Here is a 24,101-nt window from a genome sequence, read left to right as displayed (position 1 = left end):
TTTTTAATTTTTTGTAGAGACAGGGTCTCCCTATGTTGTCCAGGTTGGTCTGCAAGTCCTGGGCTCAAGCAATCCTCCTGCCTCTGTCTCCCCAAATGCTAGGATTACATATGTGAGCCACCACACACAGCCTATTTTTAGTTTTTTTTTGAGGAACCTCCATAGTGTTCTCTGTAGTGGCTGTAGTACTTCACATTCCCACCAACAGCGTGAGGGTTCCCCTTCTTCCACATCCTCACAAGCATCTGTTATTTTTTGTCTTTTTGATAATAGTCATTTTAACTGGGGTGAGATGATATCTCATTGTGGTTTTTATTTACATTTCCTTGATGATTAGTAATGTTGCATTTTTTCATAATACCTTTTGGCCATTTGTATGTCTTCTTTTGAGAAATGTCTATTCAGGTATTTTGCTCATTTTTTAAATGGAGTTATTTGGTTTTATTTTGCTATTGAGTTGAGTTCCTTATGTATTCTGGATATTAATCCCTTGTCAGATGGATATTTTGCAGACATTTTCTCCCATTCTGTGGGTGGTCTCTTCACACTGTTGATTATTTCTTTTGTTGTGCAGAAGCTTTTTAGCTTGATATAATCTCTTTTGTTTATTTTTGCTTTTGTTGTCTGTCCTTTTTTTTTTTTTTTTTTTTTTTTTTTGAGACGGAGTCTCGCTCTACCGCCCAGGCTGGAGTGCAGTGGCACGATCTTGGCTCACTGCAACCTCCGCCTTCCGGGTTCAAGCAATTCTCCTGCCTCAGCCTCCCGAGTAGCTGGGACTACAGGCTCGTGCCACCGCGCCCAGCTAATTTTTTGTATTTTTAGTAGAGACAGGGTTTCATCATGTTAGCCAGAATGGTCTCAATCTCCTGACCTCGTGACCTGCCCACCTTGGCCTCCCAAAGTGCTGGGATTACAGACCTGAGCCACCGCACCCAGCCCAGGCCAATGTCTTAGAGCATTTTTCCAATGCTTTCTTCTAGTAGTTTCATAGTCTCAGGTCTCATGCTTAAGCCTTTAATTCATTTTCAGTTCATTTTTGTATAGTGTGAGAGATGGGGGTCTAGTTTCATTCTTTTGCATATGATGGTTATCGAGTTTTCCCATCACCATTTATTAAAGAAACTGTCCTTTCCCCAGTGTATGTTCTTGGTGCTTTTTTGGAAAATGAGTTGGCTATGTGTGGATTTCTGTGTTCTCTATTTTGCATTATCTCTTAATACAGAGAACAACTTTATGAGATTGGGAATCATGATCACCTCCATTTTACAGTTGAAAAAAGCTGAGGCACAAAGAGGTTAAGTTACTTGCCCAAGGTTACAAGACTGGTAAGTAGCAGAGTTAAAATGGAGAACAAGGCAGTCTAGGTCTAGGAGTCCATGCTTTTAACTCCTTCATTACCAACCAACTCTGGAAGTCTGTAAGAGGAAAAAACCATTTTATTCTACTTATTTTTCCTAACTTTGATATTATGTGTGTGTAATGTTAAGGATGGAGAAATGAATTAGAAAGCTTTTACTTAAAGTGACAGAAAATTATTGCTCTTAATATCAAATACTAGTGTATTAAATATTTCTTCTTCAAGTTACTGGAGAATATTTGAAGAACTACTTTGAAATATGGAAAACTGATACTAATTCCCCTTGAAGTTTACTTTGGAATGATTTAACAATATTTAGTGTGAAAAGGAGATAGTTTTCAGGGATGCTTAATACATTTACCCTTTACTTTAAAGATGATTTCAAGCTTTTTAGATCAGCAAGCCATCCTGTTTGTGGACACTGCTGATCGCCTGGCCTCGTTAGCTAGAGATGCTCTGGTCCATGCACGCCTGCCTAGTTTTGCCATCCCATATGCCATTGATGTACTAACTACTGGATCTTACCCACGGCTGCCAACCTGCATTAGGGTAAGTTCTTTGCTTGCCCCCATGTTCCTAAAAACTAAAGGTTTTGGCACTGGATTGGATTGTATTATTAAGTAGCCCAGCAAAAAACATTGTTAAAACAAACAGTACATATAGTTTGCTTTTTTTCTCTGTAACTAAAGTTGTGCTTTTTTGAAATAAGTTGGGGCCAGATGTGAGTAGATATCAAAATGGGTGAAGGTTTTATTTTTTTTTCCCCCAGGGATGCGCGGATGTGCAGACATAACATCTATTTCAGATGTGAAAATGCTACATGCTAGTTGCTTTTTGAAAGTGTTTTAAACTTTTATTGTTTTGGTAGTTTACTGACTTGGTGCCATATTGTATTTTATACTTGTAAGAACTTGTGGAAGCTATCAAGTGATATTTAGTTGGTTTATAAATAGAGCATTAAGGGAGGTCATGTTGTATTATGATCTTAGCTAAATGACTAGAATCATTGTTGCTCTTATGCATGATAGTAATGGCCATTGTTTTTGTAAGTAGACTGCAGAAATGAGTGTTAAGATTCTCTTAGGTAAAGTACGCAACACTGTATAAAGACAGGAAAAGATTGAAAAAAAAAATCCCCGTTTGTACATTATTTAAAAATCACTTAAATTTTTTTGCAGGACAAAATTATTCCTCCAGACCCAATTACCAAAATTGAAAAACAAGCCACACTCCATCAGCTGAATCAGATTCTTAGACATCGGCTTGTAACCACAGATCTTCCTCCTCAGTTAGCAAATCTTACAGTTGGTATGTATCTGAAATTTATTTTTTTAAGAGTTGATGGCCAGGTGCGGTGGCTCATGCCTGTAATCTCAGCACTTTGGGAGACTGAGGCAGGCAGATCACTTGAGGTCAGGAGTTTGAGACCAGCCTGGCCAACATGGTGAAACCCCATCTCTACTAAAAATACAAAAATTAGCTGGGTGCGGTGGCCCGCACCTGTAATCCCAGCTATTCGGGTGGCTGAGGCATGAGAATTGCTTGAACCTGGGAGGCAGAGGTTGCAGTGAGCCAAGATTGCACCACTGTACTCCAGCCTGGGTGACAGAATTTGCATGTTAGAATATTTTCCTAAACAGCTTTTTGGGTTTTATTCAAGGAAAAATAGCATCATGAAGATTTGACTGACAGTTTTATGGTGTTTGATTCTACGACTTGCCAGCTGTATCATTTCTCTTTAGTACCTAGAAATACAGTGCTGGTATTTGCAGCTTGGGAGTGGGGCTGGAAAGAGAGAAGAGTCCCCAGAGTTGTGCCTCAAGAAAATATTGTTCATTTATGTTAGAAGAGTTGCCTTTCATTTCTTGACCTGGAAGCTGGCTACTTCTTATTCAGGAACCATTGAATTGTTGGAACCTTATGAAAGAACCTTCAATCTATTTAAAAATTTTTATAAGTAAGACTGAAAATTCTAGGTCAGGAGGAAGATTCTCATTTTCTAGCAAAGTACACTTCTTTTTCTTCATCTTTTTCTTCTAAAAGCAAATGGCCGGGTGAAGTTTCGTGTTGAAGGAGAATTTGAAGCCACCTTGACTGTGATGGGAGATGACCCTGATGTTCCATGGCGTCTTCTCAAGCTAGAAATTCTAGTTGAGGATAAGGAAACAGGAGGTAAATCATAAGTAGTGATTTAAATCATAAGTATTAGTTTAAATGTTTGATTTTTTATATTATTGAAATATTCCCGGCTGGGGATGATGGCTCATGCTTGTAATCCCACTACTTTGGGAGGCCAAGGCAGGTGGATCGCTTGAGCTCAGGAGTTTGAGACCAGCCTAGACAATATAGCAAGACCCTGTCTCTACAAAAAATTTAAAAATTAGCCGGGCGTGGTGGTGTGTTCCTGTAGTCCCAGCTACTTGGGAGGCTGGGGTTGGGAGGTGGGAGGATCACCTGAGCCCAGGGAGGTTGAGGCTGCAATGAGCCATGATCATGCCACTGCACTCTAGCCTGGGTGACAGAGCAAGATCCTGTCTCTCTATATATATATTCCTGCAAAATAATAAATGCATGCAGCAATTTATCCTGTAATTTGAAGCAAGTTTTATAATTGTAACTGCCTGTTGACCGTGGAAGTTTCAGTGTTTCTCAGAGTACAATGTCAAGTTTCTGTAGATAATTTCAGTGCTTTTTAAAAAAATTCATTGTTATTATGTGCTTCCTTAGTTGGTATAGTGACACACTTGTACACCTATTTAATTAACTGCTTTCTTTTCTTCTGCCAACGGAAGATGGGCGAGCTTTGGTTCATAGCATGCAAATCAGCTTCATCCATCAACTGGTGCAGTCTAGGCTCTTTGCTGATGAGAAACCTCTTCAGGATATGTACAACTGCCTACGTATCCTTCTGAAATTTGAGACATATATTTGTAAGGATTTTGTGGTACCTCTCCCACATTTTTCATTTGTCCTTAGTCTTGAACTGTAGCAGCCTACATTCCTTGCCCCCATCTCCCCCACCCTTTTTGAGGTGCAGATAGGGCTGGAGAATAGTGAAGAATAGTGATATGTTTGTAATAAACCAAATTTAAAATTTTACTGTTGACTTTGCAGGTAAAAGCAAAAAGTGATTAGTTAAAAATAGTCTTGTTTGAGGCTGGGCACGGTGGCTCATGCTTGTAATCCCAGCACTTTGGGAGGCTGAGGCGGGTGTATCACTTGAGGTCAGGAATTCAAGACCTGCCTGGCCACCATGGTGAAACCCTGTCTCTACTAAAAATCCAAAAAAAAAAAAAGAAGCCTGGTGTGGTGGCGGGCACCTGTAATCCCAGCTACTAGGGAGCCTGAGACAGGAGAATCGCTTGAACCCAGGAAGCAGAGGTTGCAGTGAGCCGAGATCATGCCACTGCACTCCAGCCTGGATGACAGAGCAAGACTCCGTCACACACACACACAAAATAATAATAATAAAAAAGTACTGTTTGGTGAAAAAAATAGTACTATTTGGTCAATCCATGTTCTCTAAACTATGATGAATTAAGACACAACCCAGACTTTATGGTTTTATATTGGTTTAAAATTAAATATAAAACCTTTTTCTGAAATTATGCTATAAATTATAATACTTTTTACGATGAGGCATTGGAGAAATAATCATTTCAGAAATTTTCTTCAGAAATTTTTCTCCAGGTTTTCAATAAGAGAACCTTCCTTAAATGAAGTTCTCCTGGACTTGATTGACTGTTGGTGTAATGTATTAATTTTACTTAACAACATCTATCAGATTCTTTCTGTTTATCACTTCAGTTAGAAGTGTTACATTCCCAAACTCTAATGTTAATCCGAGAACGGTGGGGAGACCTTGTGCAGGTGGAAAGGTATCATGCTGGAAAGTGCCTCTCCCTTTCAGTTTGGAAGTAAGTAAAATCAGTTCTGGTGGGTTCGTGCTATGACTGTAAATACTCTTTTTATTTCTCTTTTTCTCTCATACATCTGATTTAATATACAGTTGACCCTTGGACAACACAAGCTTGAATTGTGTGGGTCCACTTATATGCAGATCAATTTGCAAGATGTGAAACCTGCGTATAGGGCCAACCTTCCCTATACGTGGGTTCTGCTGGCTGACCGCAGGACTGACTGCAGGACGTGAGTTTGCGTGGATTTTGGTATTGGGACGGGAATCCTGGAGCCAGTCTCCCAAGTATACCAAGGAATGACTGTATACCAATAGCTATGCACCTCTAGTAACATGCTTTTGTGTAGTAAGGTCCCATAGTATTATGTAGACCACATAGGACATCCATAGTTGACACCTGTCTTAGAACATGTTTTAAATACATAGACATTTACCTGTTTGTACTAAGACTTACTATTCTTAAAAAGTTTGAGAGGTTAGTTTACTTTGGGTTTATACCAAATAGCTAAAAGACCGTTAGGTTAGAAAAGACCATTAGGTTAGATTGTTGGGTATCATTTTTTAAAACATGCATGCTTATCACAGTTTTCCACTTTGAATTGTGCCTGTTAAAAACTTTCTTTGGGAGAAAATTCCTATTGGACTGTTTGTAACTCTCAATTCCCTGTTTGAACTTTACTTGATTCCTGTTTTTCTCCCCACCCCGGCATCTTATTATCCCAAATGACCCCCATTTTCTGTAAAGGAGTCAGAGGTGAGTAGATACTACTTAGAAGACAGGTAGTTTTTGTTTTGGGGTTCTTTTTCATGTGTGCATATGTTTTATTTTTAAATTATATGTCTTTTTTAAATGCAATAAATCAAATATTGTATTGGATTACAGAATAGCTATCTTCCCATTATTATTCCCTCCACAAACACTGGGGGCCTGCCGTATTCCAGGCTGTGGCTAAACTGCACAATGGATTGTCTCTATTTTATTCTAGAAGTTAACAGACTGTGTTGAAAAAAATTCTTCATTTCATTTTTTTCTTTAGTCAACAGGTTCTTGGGAGAAAAACTGGAACAGCATCTGTTCACAAAGTTACAATTAAAATTGATGAGAATGATGTCTCCAAGCCTTTACAGATTTTTCACGATCCTCCTTTGCCAGCTTCTGATTCCAAATTAGTAGAAAGAGCCATGAAGGTAAAAGATCTCAATATATTTTCATATTGGTTTAAATGAATGTAACTTGCCATTTATCCTTAAACTCTTAGCACAAATTTTTAAAAATATCTAATTCTTCCTAAAACCTTTTATGAAACTTATTTTAAGTAAATGTTACACTTCTTACATTTGTTTTTTTAAAACATCTGATACTATAATATATAATTTTTAAGATATTCTTTCATATTTTATAATTTAGATCAGATACCATTTTAATTTTAAGGTCTGGCATTAGAGCACCATAACTGATTTGTAATATCTTCTCCTATTACTTACCAAAATGTTAACTATAGTTTTTAAGCTATCAATTGTAAGTTAATTTTTAACTCAATACCATATTAGTTAATTTTTAACTTTAAGTTTGCTTTCTATTAGGGTTAACACTTAATCAGTGTGATTCCAAAAGGAAATATTTTGAAGCACAGTAATCTACTCTTGGGCTTTTAAAGTAAAAATGTTTAAATTGCACATTTGAATTTGTTGTTCTTATTTATGCAGATCGACCACTTATCAATAGAAAAACTCCTGATTGACAGTGTCCATGCAAGAGCTCATCAGAAGCTCCAAGAACTGAAGGCCATTCTTAGAGGCTTCAATGCCAATGAAAACTGTAGGTTCTTTTAAATTGACATTTGTTTTTCTTTTGTTTAAACTAGAATCCAGTTTTATTTGATGAGAATCTTAATATGACTTTTTCTTGATATTTTGCTTTTATTGTGGAAGCTGGTATTTCTGCATTTTAACTTGTGATCTGCCAAACTTATGCTAATTTTTCCCTTGTTACTTATTTAGCTTGGCCTTATTTTTGAAATATTTGTGTATTGGATTTCCTTAAAACTTTATGAAATGGGGCTGGGCATGGTGGCTCACACCTGTAATACCAGCACTTTGGGAGGCCGAGATGTAAGGATCACTTGAGGCCAGGAGCTTTAGACAAGCCAGGGCAAAAAATGAGACCCCGTCTCTATTTATAAAATTTTTTAAATAAAAAAGAAAAACTTTATGAAACATGAGCTAACATTTTAATATGAACCTTATTTTTAAACTTTTTTCTAGTGATAAAACAGCATTCCAAATATTTATAATATACTTGTAAAATATGCCCCTTTGAGTGAAGCAGAATTCATCCCTTGTCTTTTTAAAAAATTTTTAAAAATTATTAACAGTTCAAATAAGGAATGCAGATACATGGACATAGTGAAAAATCTTCCAAGTTTAATTACCTAGTAAGTATATTCAGAGCTTTGAGGGACAGTCATTTAGAAAGTAAACCCTTTCATTCTGGGAATATAGGTTCGCAACATCATAATGGGCATATTTACTATCCCTGCCCCAATTGTTTTTGGCCATAATTACCTTGTGCCCACAGTGCACAGTCTTTAATTAAGTTAGATGACGTAAGTGAAGTGCCTTATAAGTAGGAAGTCTTAATAGTGCTAGTAACGAAGGTGCTGCCTTTTGTCATCACAGAGCTCAGCTCAATCCATTATACTTAAAGAAGCAGCTTCTTAGGTATGTACTAGTAACTCTGGATTAAAATCACTTTGACAGAAATAGATTTTAAAAAATTGCCTGAAGGAAAGACAGAAAGTTAGAAAAATAAGTGTGTATTTAGAATACATACTCATTCAAGGAAAGTGAAAAGATAGAGGTGAAAGAGGGGATCTAAGATAAACCAAAGCATTAGCTTATATTTTTAAAGAGACTAAGGAGAGGGGCAGCCTAACTTAACAAAAATGCAAATATGGGCCTTAAAAAAGAAATAAAGGATCTGCCAGAAATTTGGTGAATGTATTGGTTAGATGTGTCTTGGGGGTGCCTGTCCATTAGCCCTATCAGGGTTTAACATTAGCTTTATCAGTACTTCATTATCTTAATTTAATTAAAAGCTTCAGTAGAAGGCCCTCCCCTTTAATCCCTCAAGCAAAGATGTTAAATACAGACCTAAAAATTATGATTGGAAAGTATAATTGAAACTCTCACTGGAATTAGAAAGGCTACTAACCACCACTGCCTTTTCGTCTTTTTTTCTTAACAGCTTTATTGAGATATAATTCACATATAATTACCTCATTCAATGGTTTTTACTGAAAGAGTTGTGCAACTATCACCACAATTTGATTTTAGAACATTTTAATCATCCCAGAAAGAAACCGTGTACCCATTAGCAGTCACAACCCATTCACTCCTCTCCCTTCCTGCCTCCCTTTTGGCAATCATTAATCTACTTTCTAACTCTATAGATTTGCCTATTTGGACATTTCATATAAATGGAATCATAATGTGTGGTCTCTTACATACTGTTTTTAACACATTTTTTTTGAGGTTCACAGCATGTTTCAATACTTCATTCACTTTTATTGTCAAATAATCCATTGTATGGCTATACCATCTTTTGTTTATCCATTCATCATTGTTGAACATTGGGGTTGTTTTTCTTTTTTGGCTATTGTGGATAATGCTGCTATGAACATTCATGCCCAAGTTTTTATGTGGACGTAAGTTTTCATTTCTCTTGGCTGTACACCTAGGAGTGTAATGGCCGGGTCTTGTAACTGTTTAACCTTTTGACGTGTTTAACACCACTTTACAATCTAACCAGCAATGTGGGAAGGTTTCATTTTCTCCACATCCTCACCAATACTTGTTATTGTTTGCATTCTTTTACGTGAGGATATGCAGTTATCTCAGTAACATTTGTTGAAGACTATTTTCTCCTGTTTAATTGTCTTGTCACCCTTGTTGAAATTCCCCTTTTGTTCTTTTTTAAGAAATGGAGTCTCACTGTGTTGCCCAGGCTGGTCTCTATCTATCTATCTATCTATCTATCTATCTATCTATCTATCTATCCATCTATGTATCTATTTTAAGTCCATGGCCTGCTGAACAGGCTGGTCTTATGCTCCTGGGCTCAAGCAATCCTACCACATTGGCCTCCCAAAGTGCTGGGATTACAAGCATGAACCACCATGTCCAACTCTTTTGTTCTTAAAGAAGACTTTAAGTATTTTGCAATCTTAATTTTTCTAATTTTTCAAAACTTCGTTTGTTGAGATTCCAGAAAATAGGGAGTTTGTAATCTTTTGATAGGCTCTGGTTTACTTTAGTATCATCTGTAAGCAAGGCTTAGTAAGTTAAAAAACAGAACAAAAACTTAGTAAGTTAAAAAACAGAAACAAAAAACTATGATTGCCAAGGGATAGTTAAATTACTTTGAAAAATAAACTCAAAGCATACGTTTACATAGGAATGGTTTTGTGTGCTGTTCACCTAGGTTCTGAAGATTTCTAAAGAGAAATTTAGAGAAATCTTCAGAACCCAAGTGTAAAATTCCTTTTTGTAGAAATGTTAGAGATCTGAGTTCAGCTGTCTGCTCTTGAACAAGTCATTTACACTATTTGGGCCATTCTCCTCATCTGAAATTTGAGGATATTATAATAGTCCAGGCTCTTCCTAGATCTTAAACTCTAGTAGGAATGTGCTACACCAGTGGTTTTCAAGCCCTAGGTGTTTTGTAGAGTCCCAGGTGTTAGAGAAGGGTGACTTAGGGACTATAATTTGGAAGGAAGGGAGAAGCTTGCATGCGGGGTTGATCTCCTCAGTTCTGCTTTAATCAGGACAGTTCTAGAAATGAGGACTGCTAGAGGAAAGGGTCTGCCGACCCACCATCTTAGGGCATGTGCTTTAACTTGTTCTTTAAATTCATGTGCATGCATTTATACTCTCCATGTAGTCTTACTTGATCCTTTTTTGTGATGGGCGAGCATGCTTTATTAAGATCCTTACTGGGATGAGGGACTACATAGTCTATTCTTAGAATCCCTTAGCGCAGTCACCCTTAAATCAGCTGGCTTTTCTTCTAACACCTAACTGGAATAACCCAAGGAAATGAGTAGCTCAGAGAGTGGAGCATTTCAAGGGAAGGCTAGGGGAAGGCATAGACTTCAGGTTTTGAGCAGCTCAGGCATGTGGTTTCGTGGGGGTAGAAATGGTTTAGGGGAGAGGAGGCAGGACTTTGGAGATAAGTTCCAAAAAAGCAGTGCAAGGTACTAAAGGTAACTTGAGATATGGCCCAGTTGGCAGCATTGCCTAACTCTTGAAAGCCAGGGTGCTGCTCCCTTATGTTGTACTCTACCCTTCAGCACTTATAATCAGGGCATCATGATCAGTTTGGAAGCTATGAACCACACACAGCCATTCCTAATTGAGCTTAGTTGCCGCTCTTCACTCTTCACACTTTATATTCTGTCTGTTATCCATTCTCATCTTGTTCTCAATAAATGATAGAAATAAAAGGAGATATATATATGTTCTGGCAGGACGAAATAGCAGCAAGTCCTGTCATCTTACACTGCTTTTAATTCCCTCTTCTTTATTTTCTTTGCAAGTTTCCCCATTTTTGTATACCTAAAACCTGTTGCCTTTAAATGCTTTAGGGCATTGTGTATTTTATTTTCTGTAAAGAAAAATATGGACATTGGTAGTCAAAAAATTGTACATCGATTTGTATCAGAGTATTTCTTGTCTTTTGAACTGTGTTATCTGTATTCTTCTCTGATGCCCTATTTTTCTAAGAATACTCAATTGTGGTAATTAGATTGAAATTATAATTGTTACCCCAATTCCCAGAACTAGTTTTACTCTGTTGCCACGCTTTAGAAATGGTTTTGCTTTAGAGAATTCACTCCTACCCTGTCAGGAATTGTGACACTATGGAAATGTTTCAAAAATCAGCAACTCTGTTTCACATTTGTAATAACTTTTTATTAACATAGTAAGTTCAGCAAAATGTCACTGATTTGAACTAATTTGTCACATTGGTCTGAATTATATGGTAAAAGAAATTTTTGTTTTTGCCCTTTTTGTTCTGTTTTTTTCAGGTCAGAGTTCTGCTGGATTTGCATGTTAAACATTTTGTATACAAATATGTATTAGATGTACAGGTTGAGTATCCCTTATCTGAAATGCTTGAGACCAGAAGTATTTCAGATCTCGGATTTTTTTTGGGTTTTGGAATATTTGCATTTGTACTTACTGGTTGGGCATCCCAAATCTGAAAATCCGAAATCCAAAATGCTTCATTAAGCATTTCCTTTGAGCATCATGTCAGCGCTCAAAAAATTTTGGATTTTGGAGCATTTCAAATTTTGGAGTTTAGGATGCTCACCCTATGTTTTAAAGCAATTTATTTCTCTCTAATTAAATATGTCTTCTGCAATCTTTTACTTTATTAATTTGTTTGATAATTTGTGTAGACAGTACCAATGGTAATGTCATCCATTTGAATTATTGAAAATTTATAGTAAAAGGTTTTGGTTTGTTTCTTTGATTCAAAAGGAATATAGATAATATACATTTGTCAAACACTTTGCTTTTTAAAGCACTTTTACAGCCTTGTCATTTCTTGCTCCTAACAACCTGTGGCATGGAGGGGAAGATGTTATTTTCCTTGTTTGACAAAAAAGCAGGCAGAAGCCACGCCTGGTGAAAGGCCTGCATCGCCACTCCCCTCTGCGCCTGCCACGTTACCTCTCCTTCCGAGCACCTGCATCACCATTCTCCTCTGTATCTGCCTTTTTTTTCTGTGCTGTAGCTTCAGAGGAACTTGGTAACAAGAAGAGCATATTCCTTTTACAACCCCTCAATCTGATCAGCACTTAGTGTGTTTTCAGTGTTTTGCTTGTTTACTGGATTTCATTATGTCACTTGCAGAATTAAGAGAAAAGTTAATTGGGCCTCGTGGAAATACTGTGAAACTCTAGATCAGGCATATTGTCAGCTTTGGGGATTTGTGTTTAGCAATTGCCTATGTTCTTAATTCATCTGTGACTTGAAATGGAGTATACAAATGACTTGAAAAAAATTTTTCTTCCTGGGTAATCAATAATATTTATTAGTTTAAACACATGGGCTCTAATTGCCAGAATACCTCTTTTTTATGAGGAATGGCATTGAAAATCATGAGGCCATAGAAGATATTTATTCTGTTTATAAACAACTAGTTTTCTTTCCATTATACAAAAGAGAAAATCCTTAAAAATTAATTAGCTTATTAGTAATTACCAAGTGAAAGTAAAACTAGAACTCAGCTCACTGATGAAGTTGAATTTTCACTAGCTATTTCAACCCTCTTTAAGAAACTTTGGATTTTTTTTGCTGTAGTATTTGAGACAGGCATGTTTGTTTCAAGTCACCTTGAAAATTACATTCTTTCCTTTTTGAGCTGCTAACTGACATAATAATACTATTGCAAATTTTGCAAAATCATGTTTTTCCTCTAACATTTAGGATCCTTCAATAGTTGGTTTGTTTGTACTCATTGATTGAGAAATAATTTTTCTGGAAAATATTCAGATAGAAAAATAATTTTTAATTCTTGATTGTTCAGCTTCCATAGAGACTGCACTCCCAGCTCTTGTTGTTCCCATCTTGGAGCCCTGTGGTAATTCAGAGTGTCTGCACATTTTTGTAGATTTACATTCTGGAATGTTTCAATTGATGCTTTATGGACTTGGTAAGTTACTAAATGATATAATCATTCAATGTAAGAAAAATTATTTTTAACAAAAACAAAATAAACATTTTCTGTCATTAGGTATTAGAAAGAATGGTATATGCAGTGTTGAAAGTGGGTATGGAAACCATAACTCTGACTGATGTCAGTTCCTCGGGGCCGTTTTAACTACTTTGGATTTTCTTGTAGCAGATGTTAAACTTCCCAGTATAACGCACATTCGTGTTTCCTTATGCAAAATTAATAATGTTGATGGCTGCTGTTTTTTAGGTTAACTTATCTATCCCAGTAGCTCAGTTTCTATTTTACCACTGGGTGACATGGAAATCACAATAAGGAATTCTAATGTCATTTGTGGCTGAAGAACATTTTTATGACAGTAGAAACATCTAAGATGACTTGAGGTACAGAATCCTGGAGGAAAGGATTTTTTTTTCTGGCCTAAACACAGTAGAAATTAAAGTTTGATTTCTTACTTGTTCTGTTACTGAGTCAGTGTTATGAAATGATGAAATAAGAATTTAGTGTTTTTGTATTGCTACTGGACAGTGTTCTTGAATATATTAGGACATCTGCTATTTGAAATTAATATTCAGCTAGAAAGGTTGAAAATAAAGGGCTTTCTGGTTATATTTTATAGCTATAGATTTTTTTTCTATGGGCTGCTCATGGAAAACTGAACTAATTACTTTGAATGACATCACATTTATGATGGCTAAATGACGCATTTATGAATTACTTTAACTGTGGGTTCCAAATAAGGCAAATGTTGTTTGTTCTTAAAAACTTATATTTAGGCCAGGCGTGGTGGCTCAAACGCCTGTAATCCCAGCACTTTGGGAGGCCGAAGTGGGCGAATCACAATGTCAGGAGATCGAGACCATCCTGGCTAACACGGTGAAACCCTGTCTCTACTAAAAACACAAAAAATTAGCCAGACGTGGTGGCGGGTGCCTGTAGTCCCAGCTACTCGGGAGGCTGAGGCAGGAGAATGGCGTGAACCTGGGAGGCGGAGATTGCAGTGAGCCGAGATCGCGCCACTGCACTCCAGCCTGGGCGGTAGAGCGAGACTCCGTCTCAAAAAAAAAAAAAAAAAACAAAACTTATATTTAACTGTTTTTCTGATTATTAACATAGTACATACTCATAAATAAAAAACTTAAACACACAAAAATTAGAAAAGCAACAGAAAATAGTCTTTTAGGGATGTATGCTTGTCTTAGCAGCTCAGGCTGCCGTTAACAAAATATCATAGACTAGGTGACTTAAACAACAGAAATTTATTTTGTCATAGTTCTGGAGGCCAGAAATTCAAGATCAAGGTGTCAGCATGGTTGATTTCTGATGAAGGCTCTCTTTCTAGCTTGTATATAGATTGTATATAGACAGCTGCCTTCTTGCTGTGTCTTCACATGGCTGAGAGAGCGACTTCTCTGGCATCCGTTCTTATAAGTCTGCTACTGATCCCTTCATGAAGTCCCTACCTTCATGACCTCATTTAAACCTAATTGCCTCCCAAAGACCCCTTCTCCAAATACCATCACACTGAGGATTAGGGGTACAACATATGGATCTTGGGGGGACATAGTTGACCCCATAGCAGTGCTTTTCTAATTTTTTCTATACTTTGTCCCCATTAATCAAAATCATTTTGTATCTTGCTTTTTTTTGCTCATTATTCTGTTTACTAGCATTTTCTAGTGTCATTAAAAATTCTGACTTAATTTGCAAGCTGATCTTCAGCCAGCAGCTGTTCCATATGCCAGAGATCATTTGTGTTTCATAAGTAAATATTTCAGTGGAGTTTTTTGTTTTTATGATTTTTAAGGTTCTAAGTCTAATAATACTATGAGTTTTAAATACTTATAATTTAAAAATACTGATTAAGTAGACTAGGAGTTTGGGGAATTAAAATATAGGCAAAGAATGGATTCATGTATTTGTTACTTGTTCTTTCTGCCAGTGTACATTTGCCATTAGTTGTCATATCTATAATGCTCCCTAAAAGTTAAAGAGGGAAAACAAATTAGGTTGGCTTATATCTAATGGTACATTTAGTTTAATTTTTCTCTGACTCAAAAACAACATGATTTTCTGCCTTAAACAATAATTTTCATTTGTTTTATTTGTTTTACACTACCTAGATAAAGATTTTGTTTCTCATATAAGCAATTAATTAATGAAGTGCTTTATTCTGTAGACCAGGCCACTCTGGATGACATGGAGAAGTCTGTGAATGATGATATGAAACGAATCATACCCTGGATTCAGCAACTTAAGTAAGCTTATTTATATAGCTCAAGACTAAAAATGGAAACTTATTTTGACAAGATATGTTTTCTTCTCCATCATTACTCTTGGTCATTCACTGTCCTTAAGGTTTATGACATGAAACTTAAGTGCCGTTTGGTACCTTAGAATCTAAATTCTCTTGGAATAGTTCCAAGATGTCAGTTTCTCATATCAAATTCTCCTCTAGAGCAAATATAGGTGTGAAGGGCATAACACTCAGCTTTCATCCCTTACCACATTTTCTTCTATACAAGCACTTTACAAATCACTTACACAATGAATTTTATTGTATCAAGTGTTCTCTGTAATAAAGTCCTATTTGTTCTTATCCAGGGTAATCGTCATGGTTGACTACCAACTGACACTTTCAAAATAGTCATTTCTGCTTCTCGAATACAGTCATTCAATTTGTCTCAAAATCCTTTAAATGCTTCACACTGTTAAACTAAATAAAATTGAAAATGGAGCTAGATATAATTCTGTGGAGTTTCATTACCACTCTGGTACACAAAGGTACCCTTATAGCAACTCTAACAAACTCTTTCTTAAAATTAATAGAATTCCAAAGGATAAAAAAAAAATTCAGAGACTAAAACCAAAACTGGCAAATGGAGAAGGCGGTGGGGGGGCGGTATCTAAAGAAAAGACTATAAAGTGGGATCTATTGTTTTTATAATCTTTTAGCCTCTGCCCTTCCCTTTAGCCAATATTTGAAAAATTCAATATAACCAAGTAATGTTTTCATTAGCAGGGCATGAATTTTTTTTTTTTTTTTTTTTTTTTTTTTTGAGACAGGGTTTTACTTTGTTGCCACCAAGGCTGGAGGGGAGTACAATAGCGTGATCTCAGCTCACTGCAACCTCTGCCTCCCAGGCTCAAGCGATTCTTCTACTTCAGCCTCCTAAGTAGCTGGGACCACAGGTGCATACTACCATGCCCAGCCAATTTTTGTATTCAGGGCATGATTTTTTGTTTTATTTTATTTATTTATTTATTTTTTATTGAGACAGAGTCTCACTCTCTTGCCCGGGCTGGAGTGCAGTGGCGTCATCTCGGCTCACTGCAACCTCTCCCTCCCGGGTTCAAGGGATTCTCCTGCCTCAGTCTTCCGAATGGCTGGGATTACAGGTGTGTGCCACCATGCCAAACTAATTTTTTGTATTTTTAGTAGAGACGGAGTTTCACCTTGTTTGCCAGACTGGTCCCAAACTCCTGACTTGAGGTGTGATGTGCCTGCCTTGGCCTCCCAAAGTACTGGGATTACAGGCGTGAGCCACCGTGCCCAGCGCAGGGCATGATTTTTAAAGCCAGTAGATAGATAATATTATGTGAGCCTTTTTTTTTGAGCAGCTATTTAGTGTATCTGTATGTGAAAAAAAATCAGTCATTAATCTGGGTAATGATTTCTAAAACTTTTAGTGTTTTAGCATCATTGTGCATTTTGGCTAAATAAGCAAGGTTTAAATATCCTAACATGCTTAATAATTCACATCTTGCATAACTTGAGGTTGTTTATCTGGCAGTTCTAGCTGCCCAAAATATAAACTAAAACCAGAAAGTTAAGTTCCAAAAGCCTTTAACTCACCAAATGTGTGCCTGTATGTAAACTTACATGATTTATTTATAAGAAAAGTCCCCTGATTGTCACTTATAATAGTGTTTCTCAGATGATTTGTGGTGAATGACCAGTTTATCACTAATCTATCATGGGACACTGATTTTTCAAAATAACTTTATTGAGGTATAATTTACATACCATAAAAATGCACCCATTTTAAGTATACAATTCAATGATTTGTAGTAAATTTACTGACTTTTGCAAGCATCACCACAATCCACTTTTAGAACGTGTAGGACATTTCCATCACCCCAAAGAAATGTCCATTTATAGTTAATAACCATTCCCAACCTCAGAAAACTATGAATCCACTTTCTATTTGCCTTTTCTGGTCATTTCATATAAAGTAGAATCAAAATATGCTGTCTTTTGTGACTGGCTTCTTTCACTTAGCATAATGTTTTCAAGGTTCATCCATATTGTAGCATGTATCAGTACTTCATTCCTTTTTATGACTGAATAATATTTCACTGTATGGATATACCACATTTGGTTTATCCATTCATCAATTGATGAACATTTGGGTTGTTTCCACTTTTTGGTTATTATGCATAATGATGCTGTGAACATTCATGTGTAAGTCTATATGTGGACTTATGTTTTCTTTTCTCTTGGAGTAGAACCAAGGAATGGAACTGCTAGGGCGTACAGTAATTTGTTTAGCTTTTAAAAGAAAATGCCAAACTGTTTTCCAGAGTGACTGTGCCATTTTACAACCTCATCAGTAATGTTGCGAGAATTTCCATTTCTCTACATCCTTGCCAACAATTGTTACTGTCTTTGAATATAGACATCCTAATAATGAGTATGAAGAAGTATCTCATTGTGATTTTCATTTATATTTCCCCAACAAATAATGATGTTGAGCATCTATTTGTTCATGTGATTACTTTTTTAAATAATGTGCAATAAAAATGAATTCTAGGAAAAAAGAAATGAAAGAACATGTATAAGATATAAGCCCCAATGTTTTTTATTAGAATCAACAGATAAAGTTATACTTCAGTAAATATAATCAGAACATAGGAAAAAAGAAAATTATAGAAACTGTGTACATTTTTCATTGAAAGTGTATACACAGGCAATTAATATAGAAAGTCACTTAGACTCAAGTTTTTTGTCCCTCAGAATCATAACAAATAATGAAGAGTGAAATAGCAATTCCAGATTGACTTTGAAAAGGCCACCTTGTATATCAGTATTTAGAATTTTTAATGTGACACATGAGCTTGTTTCTTGTTTGTAATAACTTGTCCACGTTGGATTGATGATAATGCTAATCATGAGAGATGTTTCTTATGTTTTCCTTTTAATAACATACATACTAGAGAAATCATTCTCACAAAGGTATGTTGATGGGAATCAAAGTAGAGATTTGAAATAAATTTTAGCAAGTTCAGGATATTCATTTTTAACTTTTATTCAAAATGAAGCAAGTGATGGTATATTTTCAAAATTTATCTTCATTCCTTCATCAGTAACCAGTTCTTGCATTTGATCCGTAGAGTTGTAGTTAAATTTGTCTTTCAATGAAAAAAACAAAATGGTTTCCAGAACAGTTGACAAACTACCCTTAAAATGTCATATATTATAACATGGTTTTACTGCACATAACTGGTATACAGTTTGTACCACATGCAACTTGCCACACAAATGTATCAGCACCCAACCTGGTCTTTGCCCTATTCATCAAGGCAAGTCTGCTGATCATGAGCTGGGATGTTGTGGCATCGTTATGCTGCTGTGAAAATTCTTATTTTCTGTAGTTTCATTATGCATCAGTGGAGTTTGTGAACCAGCCATTTTATCCCTTTTTTACATATTATATGATATCCTAGCTTCAAGGATAGATAATCAAATAAAAGGAATAAAAGGAGTACTATATTAAAAACGTCAGTGAAATCTGGCAGCTTACCTGAAAGGAACGTGGGAACAAAGGTAGTTAATACTACTGGGACCCGCTAGGTATACTACACACTTCACACATACACAATTTAAAAACTGGGGCTATATAAAGAATGTTGAGATTAGTTGGTGCTGTCTTTAAACCGTAGGAAATCTGTCACTCCTTAATAATAAACTAACATAGTATCTCATCCTTACAGTGAATTCTACCTTATAACTAAGATCATTCACATTGCAGTTTAAACTTCTTAAACTAAAACTAGAATTGACAGTAGTGCAAAACTATGAAAAAATGATTTGTCATTATGGCCATGTGTCCTTTTATTAGTTCAGTTAAATTTCAATTAATTGTTTTTTTAATGGTCTTTAATCATTTGTAAATCGATAGGGCACAGATAATCAGAAAAGTCTGAGATTTGATGTGGATTATCACTTTTAAATTCAGGTTTTGGCTTGGACAACAGCGTTGCAAGCAGTCTATAAAACATCTGCCTACGATAAGCAGTGAAACATTGCAGCTTTCCAATTACTCAACTCATCCTATTGGAAACCTTTCTAAGAATAAACTGTTCATTAAACTTACCCGCCTTCCACAATACTACATTGTAAGTATGCAAAGGAGTGATTTGGAGTGATCAAGTTTAGTAATTCTGTTAGTATCTTGAATGACTTATTGTTTAACTTGCCAATGAATTTTATTGAATATTTGACTTTGGTATAGTGAAACCCAGGGGTTTAGAATTGGGGAGAGAGGAATGTCACGTCTCAGTTGGGGAACATAAGGTATAACCCCATCCCTCACTCTAGGGTCTGTCCTGTGATGAGGCCTAGTCTTTGATTGGAATGAGACATCTCTGTAAGAATAAAAAATTTAAGACCAATTCCTATGAAGGTCTGGCGATGTTTTGATGTCAGATAAACTTGTTTCACTTGAAATATTAACTTGTATAGTGAAACCTTTCAAATATGGACTGGCTGAATTAGCTTTATTTTTTCATCCTTCTTTGATTGAAGGCATCTTTCATTTTATTGAGTATGTGTTCCTTTTAGTGCACAGTAAGGTCCTCTCTATTCCTTTTTCACTGTTTCTGTATGTTTTTTAGTTTCTTTATTTTTGAATTAGTTAAAATTTGCAATAATTTTAAATATGAACCCATCCTGAATATATTTTCTTGCTTGTTGAAATTTCTGGCCAGGCACGGTGGCTCACACCTGTAATCCTAGCACTTGGGAGGCTGAGGCGGGTGGATCACGAGGTCAGGAGATTGAGACCATCCTGGCTAACACAGTGAAATCCTGTTTCTACTAAAAATACAAAAACAAAACATTAGCCAGGCGTGGTGGCGGGCGCCTGTAGTCCTAGCTACTCGGGAGGCTGAGGCAGGAGAATGGTGTGAACCCGGGAGGCGGAGCTTGCAGTGAGCCGAGATCATGCCACTGCACTCCAGCTTGGGCGACAGAGTGAGACTCCATCTCAAAAAAAAAAAAAAAAAAATCTCTGTATATACCAAGTAGATATGTTGGCTAAGAATCTATGTTTTACAAATTTTAATTCAGGCCAGGTGTGATGGCTCATGCCTGTAAAACTAACACTTTGGGAGGCCGAGGCAGGAGGATCACTTGAGCCCAGAAGTTTGAGGTCAGCTTAAGCAATATAGTGAGACCTCGTCGCTTATAAAAATAAAATAAAAATTTTAATTCAAGATTGTTTGTTGAAAGTAATGGGAGTGAACTTTTTAAGGTTTTGACCTGTACTTTTAAAAGATACTATTTTAAAAGGACACCATTGTAGGCTGACATATCTTAAGCTCGGGATACTTATGTAGACTAGTGAGTCTGTCATTGATCTGAATTTTACTTTTTTCTGAATTTTAAAACAGCAGCTGTAGAACTAGATTTGGCCCACTACAAAAGACTATTGTTTCAGTTCTCAGTGAGCTTGCTTGGTCTACATGTGAAATGATAATACAGAATACATGCATCATAGCGAAACCCATGAACATACAAAGATCTCTTATAATCAGCCATGCACAAAATAAGACAAAAATGGTTATAATTTATTATTTTATGACATTTAACCACGCTTTAATGTCAGTGACCAGTGATCTATTATAAAGCAATAATTTGTTTCATATGGCTTAGACCAAAACTGAATGTAGATTATTCCTCGTCCTCTAGATTTATCACTTAGGGGTAATATGTTCATGGAAGTGGAAAGAACTACTAACATGGACATTAAGAAGAACAGAGGAAAGTCTTGCTGCAGTTGATATCCCCTTAAATGTCTTTCTGCCATTTTACCTTTCTTTTTTGGTTAGCTTTATTAAGATATAATTTACATAAAGTAAAAATACAGACTTTTTAGCATGAGTTCTGATAAATGCATACAGTTGTGTAGCCTCCATCTCAGGGCACAGAACAGATCCATTATCCCCCAAAATTGCCACATAATACCCCTTATAATCAGCCCCCTCCAACTAGTAATCACTGACTTGTTTTGTGTCTCTATAGGTTTGCCTTTTCCGTCCAGTTTCTTTGACTCAGCATAATACCTTTGACATTCATCTGTGTTGTTGTGTGTATAATAGTTCCTTCCTTTTGTTGCAGAGTAGCATTCCATGGTGTGGGAGTACCACAGTTTGTGTTTAATGAGTCACTCATTGAAGGACATTGGGGTTGTTTCCAGTTTGGGGTAATTTTGACTAAAGCTGTTAAACATTTGCATATAGATTTTTGTGTGTGTTCATAAGTTGTCATTTTTTATTTCATCTTGGATAAGTAACTAGGAGTGGGATTATTGGGTCATATGGTAAATGTGTGTTTAACTTTGTAGAAAACTGCCAACTGTTTTCCAAAGTGATGTACTATTTTGCATTCCAGCCAGCAATATATGAGAGTTCTCGTTGCTCCTCATGCTTGCCAACAGTTAGTCATTAGAATTTTTTAAAAATATTAACCATTCTGATAGGTATGTAGTGGTGTCTTATCGTAGGCCTAATTTACACTGCCCTAATGGCTGAAGATGTTGAGCATATTTTCGTGTGCTCATCCTGTCTTCTTTGGTGAAATGGCCATTTGACTTTTAACATTTCCTGAGGTACATCATCAGTGTGATGCTTTCCTGAAGAGTATGTGTGGGGAGGAGGGGGAGCAAGGGAGAAAGGAAGCAGGAAGAGAAATGGAAAAGAATGTGTGTTGGTCAGGAGCCTTTCCTAATGGCATATATTTTTGTCACTAAAGCATTTAGGGGACTTTTCTTAAATTTTAGCTAGACCTTGGAAACAGTAAGCAGGTATAGTAGGAAGAACAAGGCCTCTGGAGCCAAACTTCTGGAATCAAAGCATGAGTCTGTCACTTACTACGTGTGTGACCTTGGGCAAGTAACTTGCTTTTTTTGTGCCTCAGTTTCCTCATCACAAAAATAAAGATAGGCCAGTTGCGGTGGCTCATGCCTGTAATCCTAGTACTCTGGGAGGCCAAGGCAGGTGGATCACCCGAGGTCAGCAGTTCAAGACCAGCTTGGACAACATGGCAAAACCCCACCTCTAATAAAAATACAAAAAATTAGCCTAGTGTAGTGGCACACACCTGTAATCCCAGCTGCTTGGGAGGCTGAGGCACAAGAATCGCTTGAACCTGGGAGGCGGAGGTTGCAGTGAGCTGACATTGTGCCACTGCACTCCAGCTGGGTGACAGAGTGAGACTCTGTCTCAAAAAAACAAACAAACCTACTTCACAGGGTTATTAGGAAGATTAAATATGTTAGCATCTGTAAAGTATTAGGACAATACTTGGCACATATTAAGCTTTGTATCAGTGTTAACTGTCAATATTGTTACCCTCACAGTGACCATATTTTTCAGTTGAAAAATTAGGGTTTGTTTTTACATGTTTCCAAGTATGAGGGATGGTTGTCATTTTTCTCTGCCTTAATAATGGAATTTTTAAGATGTTTGAGTGGTTAAGGGAGGCAGCAGAGCAATTTAAAATAGATACCATTCTAGAAAATCTAGCAGACTGTATTAGTCTGTTTTGGCACTGCTGATAAAGAAATACCTGAGACTGGACAATTTACAAAAGAAAGAGGTTTAATTGGACTCACAGTTCCATGTGACTGGGGAGGCCTCAGAATCACAGTGGAAGGCAAGGAGGAGCAAGTCACAGCTTACGTGGATGGTGGGAGGCAAAGAGAGAGCTTGTGCAAAGAAACTCCCGTTTTTAAAACCATCAGATTTCGTGAGACCCATTCACTATTACAAGAACATCACAGGAAAGACCCGCCCCCATGATTCAGTCATCTCCTACCAGGTCCTTCCCACAACACATGGGAATTACGGGAGCTACAAGATGAGATTTGGGTGGGGACATAAAGCCAAACCATATCACAGACCTACTGGATTTAGGCAAATTTGTTTTTGTTTTTTTCAATTTATAAGCTGAGGTGTGAATATCAAGAACACTTAATACATAATAGTTTAAATGCCCCATTTGTTATAGTTTATGGTTGCTTTTGCTTTTATCATTCTTCTTTGGTCTCATCTACTTTTTGGAAAACAAATTATGTATTTGCTAGGAATGCTTTTTTTTGATACGATTGATTTAACCTTTTTTTTTTTTAAGACATCTACATTAGATTTATAATTCTGAGCCTTACTTGATGATGTACGGAGGAAAATATCTGACACTTCTTATTTCTCTAAGTCTTATTTCTTTTTGGGATTTTTAGGTTGTGGAGATGTTGGAGGTTCCCAATAAACCCACACAACTGTCGTACAAGTACTACTTTATGTCTGTGAATGCTGCAGATCGTGAAGACAGCCCTGCAATGGCATTGCTGCTGCAGCAGTTCAAGGAAAACATTCAGGACTTGGTTTTTCGTACAAAAACCGGGAAACAGACCAGAACCAATGCCAAGCGCAAGGTATGATTCCATATGAAAATGAGCACAGAATTTGTGTGTGTTAACTTGGTTGTGTTCTTTACTCATTTTTAATATGAGAAAGAACTAAGATACAGTTTTTAAGAGACGAGGCAGCAATAAGGCTTAAGTAACAATTGTCTACATTTTCTTGAAAATGCTTCTGTTTTAATTAAATAATTGTCCACCATTTTCCATGAGAGAACTTGTGAAACACAAAATATTTACTAATAAATTACCAGTGTTTAGGTCAGTATTTACTCAGTAAATACAATAACATTTGTTTTGGTTAACCCTGAGCTTTCTTCCAGTATTTTAACTATCTTAATGAATTGCATCACATGTACTTTTTTTTTTTTTTTTACCTGT

The 24,101-nt window shown here is 36.5% G+C and overlaps 1 protein-coding gene across 9 annotated transcripts in view; it reads left to right on the top strand.

The window, feature by feature from the left end:
• The window catches only part of MED14 (mediator complex subunit 14), an 87,855-nt gene that overhangs the window by 19,717 nt on the left and 44,037 nt on the right, over nucleotides 1-24,101 (top strand). For 8 of the 9 annotated variants that reach the window (XM_047442636.1, XM_047442638.1, XM_047442641.1 and 5 more), the window contains exons 4-14: nucleotides 1,733-1,906; nucleotides 2,536-2,665; nucleotides 3,401-3,529; nucleotides 4,150-4,257; nucleotides 5,142-5,274; nucleotides 6,314-6,464; nucleotides 6,984-7,095; nucleotides 12,874-12,999; nucleotides 15,200-15,278; nucleotides 19,260-19,419; nucleotides 23,541-23,735. In XM_047442636.1, coding sequence (XP_047298592.1) covers nucleotides 1,733-1,906; nucleotides 2,536-2,665; nucleotides 3,401-3,529; nucleotides 4,150-4,257; nucleotides 5,142-5,274; nucleotides 6,314-6,464; nucleotides 6,984-7,095; nucleotides 12,874-12,999; nucleotides 15,200-15,278; nucleotides 19,260-19,419; nucleotides 23,541-23,735 — 1,497 coding nt within the window. Of the gene's footprint in view, nucleotides 1-1,222; nucleotides 1,326-1,732; nucleotides 1,907-2,535; nucleotides 2,666-3,400; nucleotides 3,530-4,149; nucleotides 4,258-5,141; nucleotides 5,275-6,313; nucleotides 6,465-6,983; nucleotides 7,096-12,873; nucleotides 13,000-15,199; nucleotides 15,279-19,259; nucleotides 19,420-23,540; nucleotides 23,736-24,101 lie in introns of all 9 variants that reach the window. The other variant, XM_047442643.1, reaches the window with a different exon arrangement.

This window comes from Homo sapiens, chromosome X (assembly GCF_000001405.40).
Source record: "Homo sapiens chromosome X, GRCh38.p14 Primary Assembly".
In the NCBI taxonomy this organism is placed as follows: Eukaryota; Metazoa; Chordata; class Mammalia; order Primates; family Hominidae; genus Homo; species Homo sapiens.
This window is presented reverse-complemented; position numbering and strand designations above follow the sequence as displayed.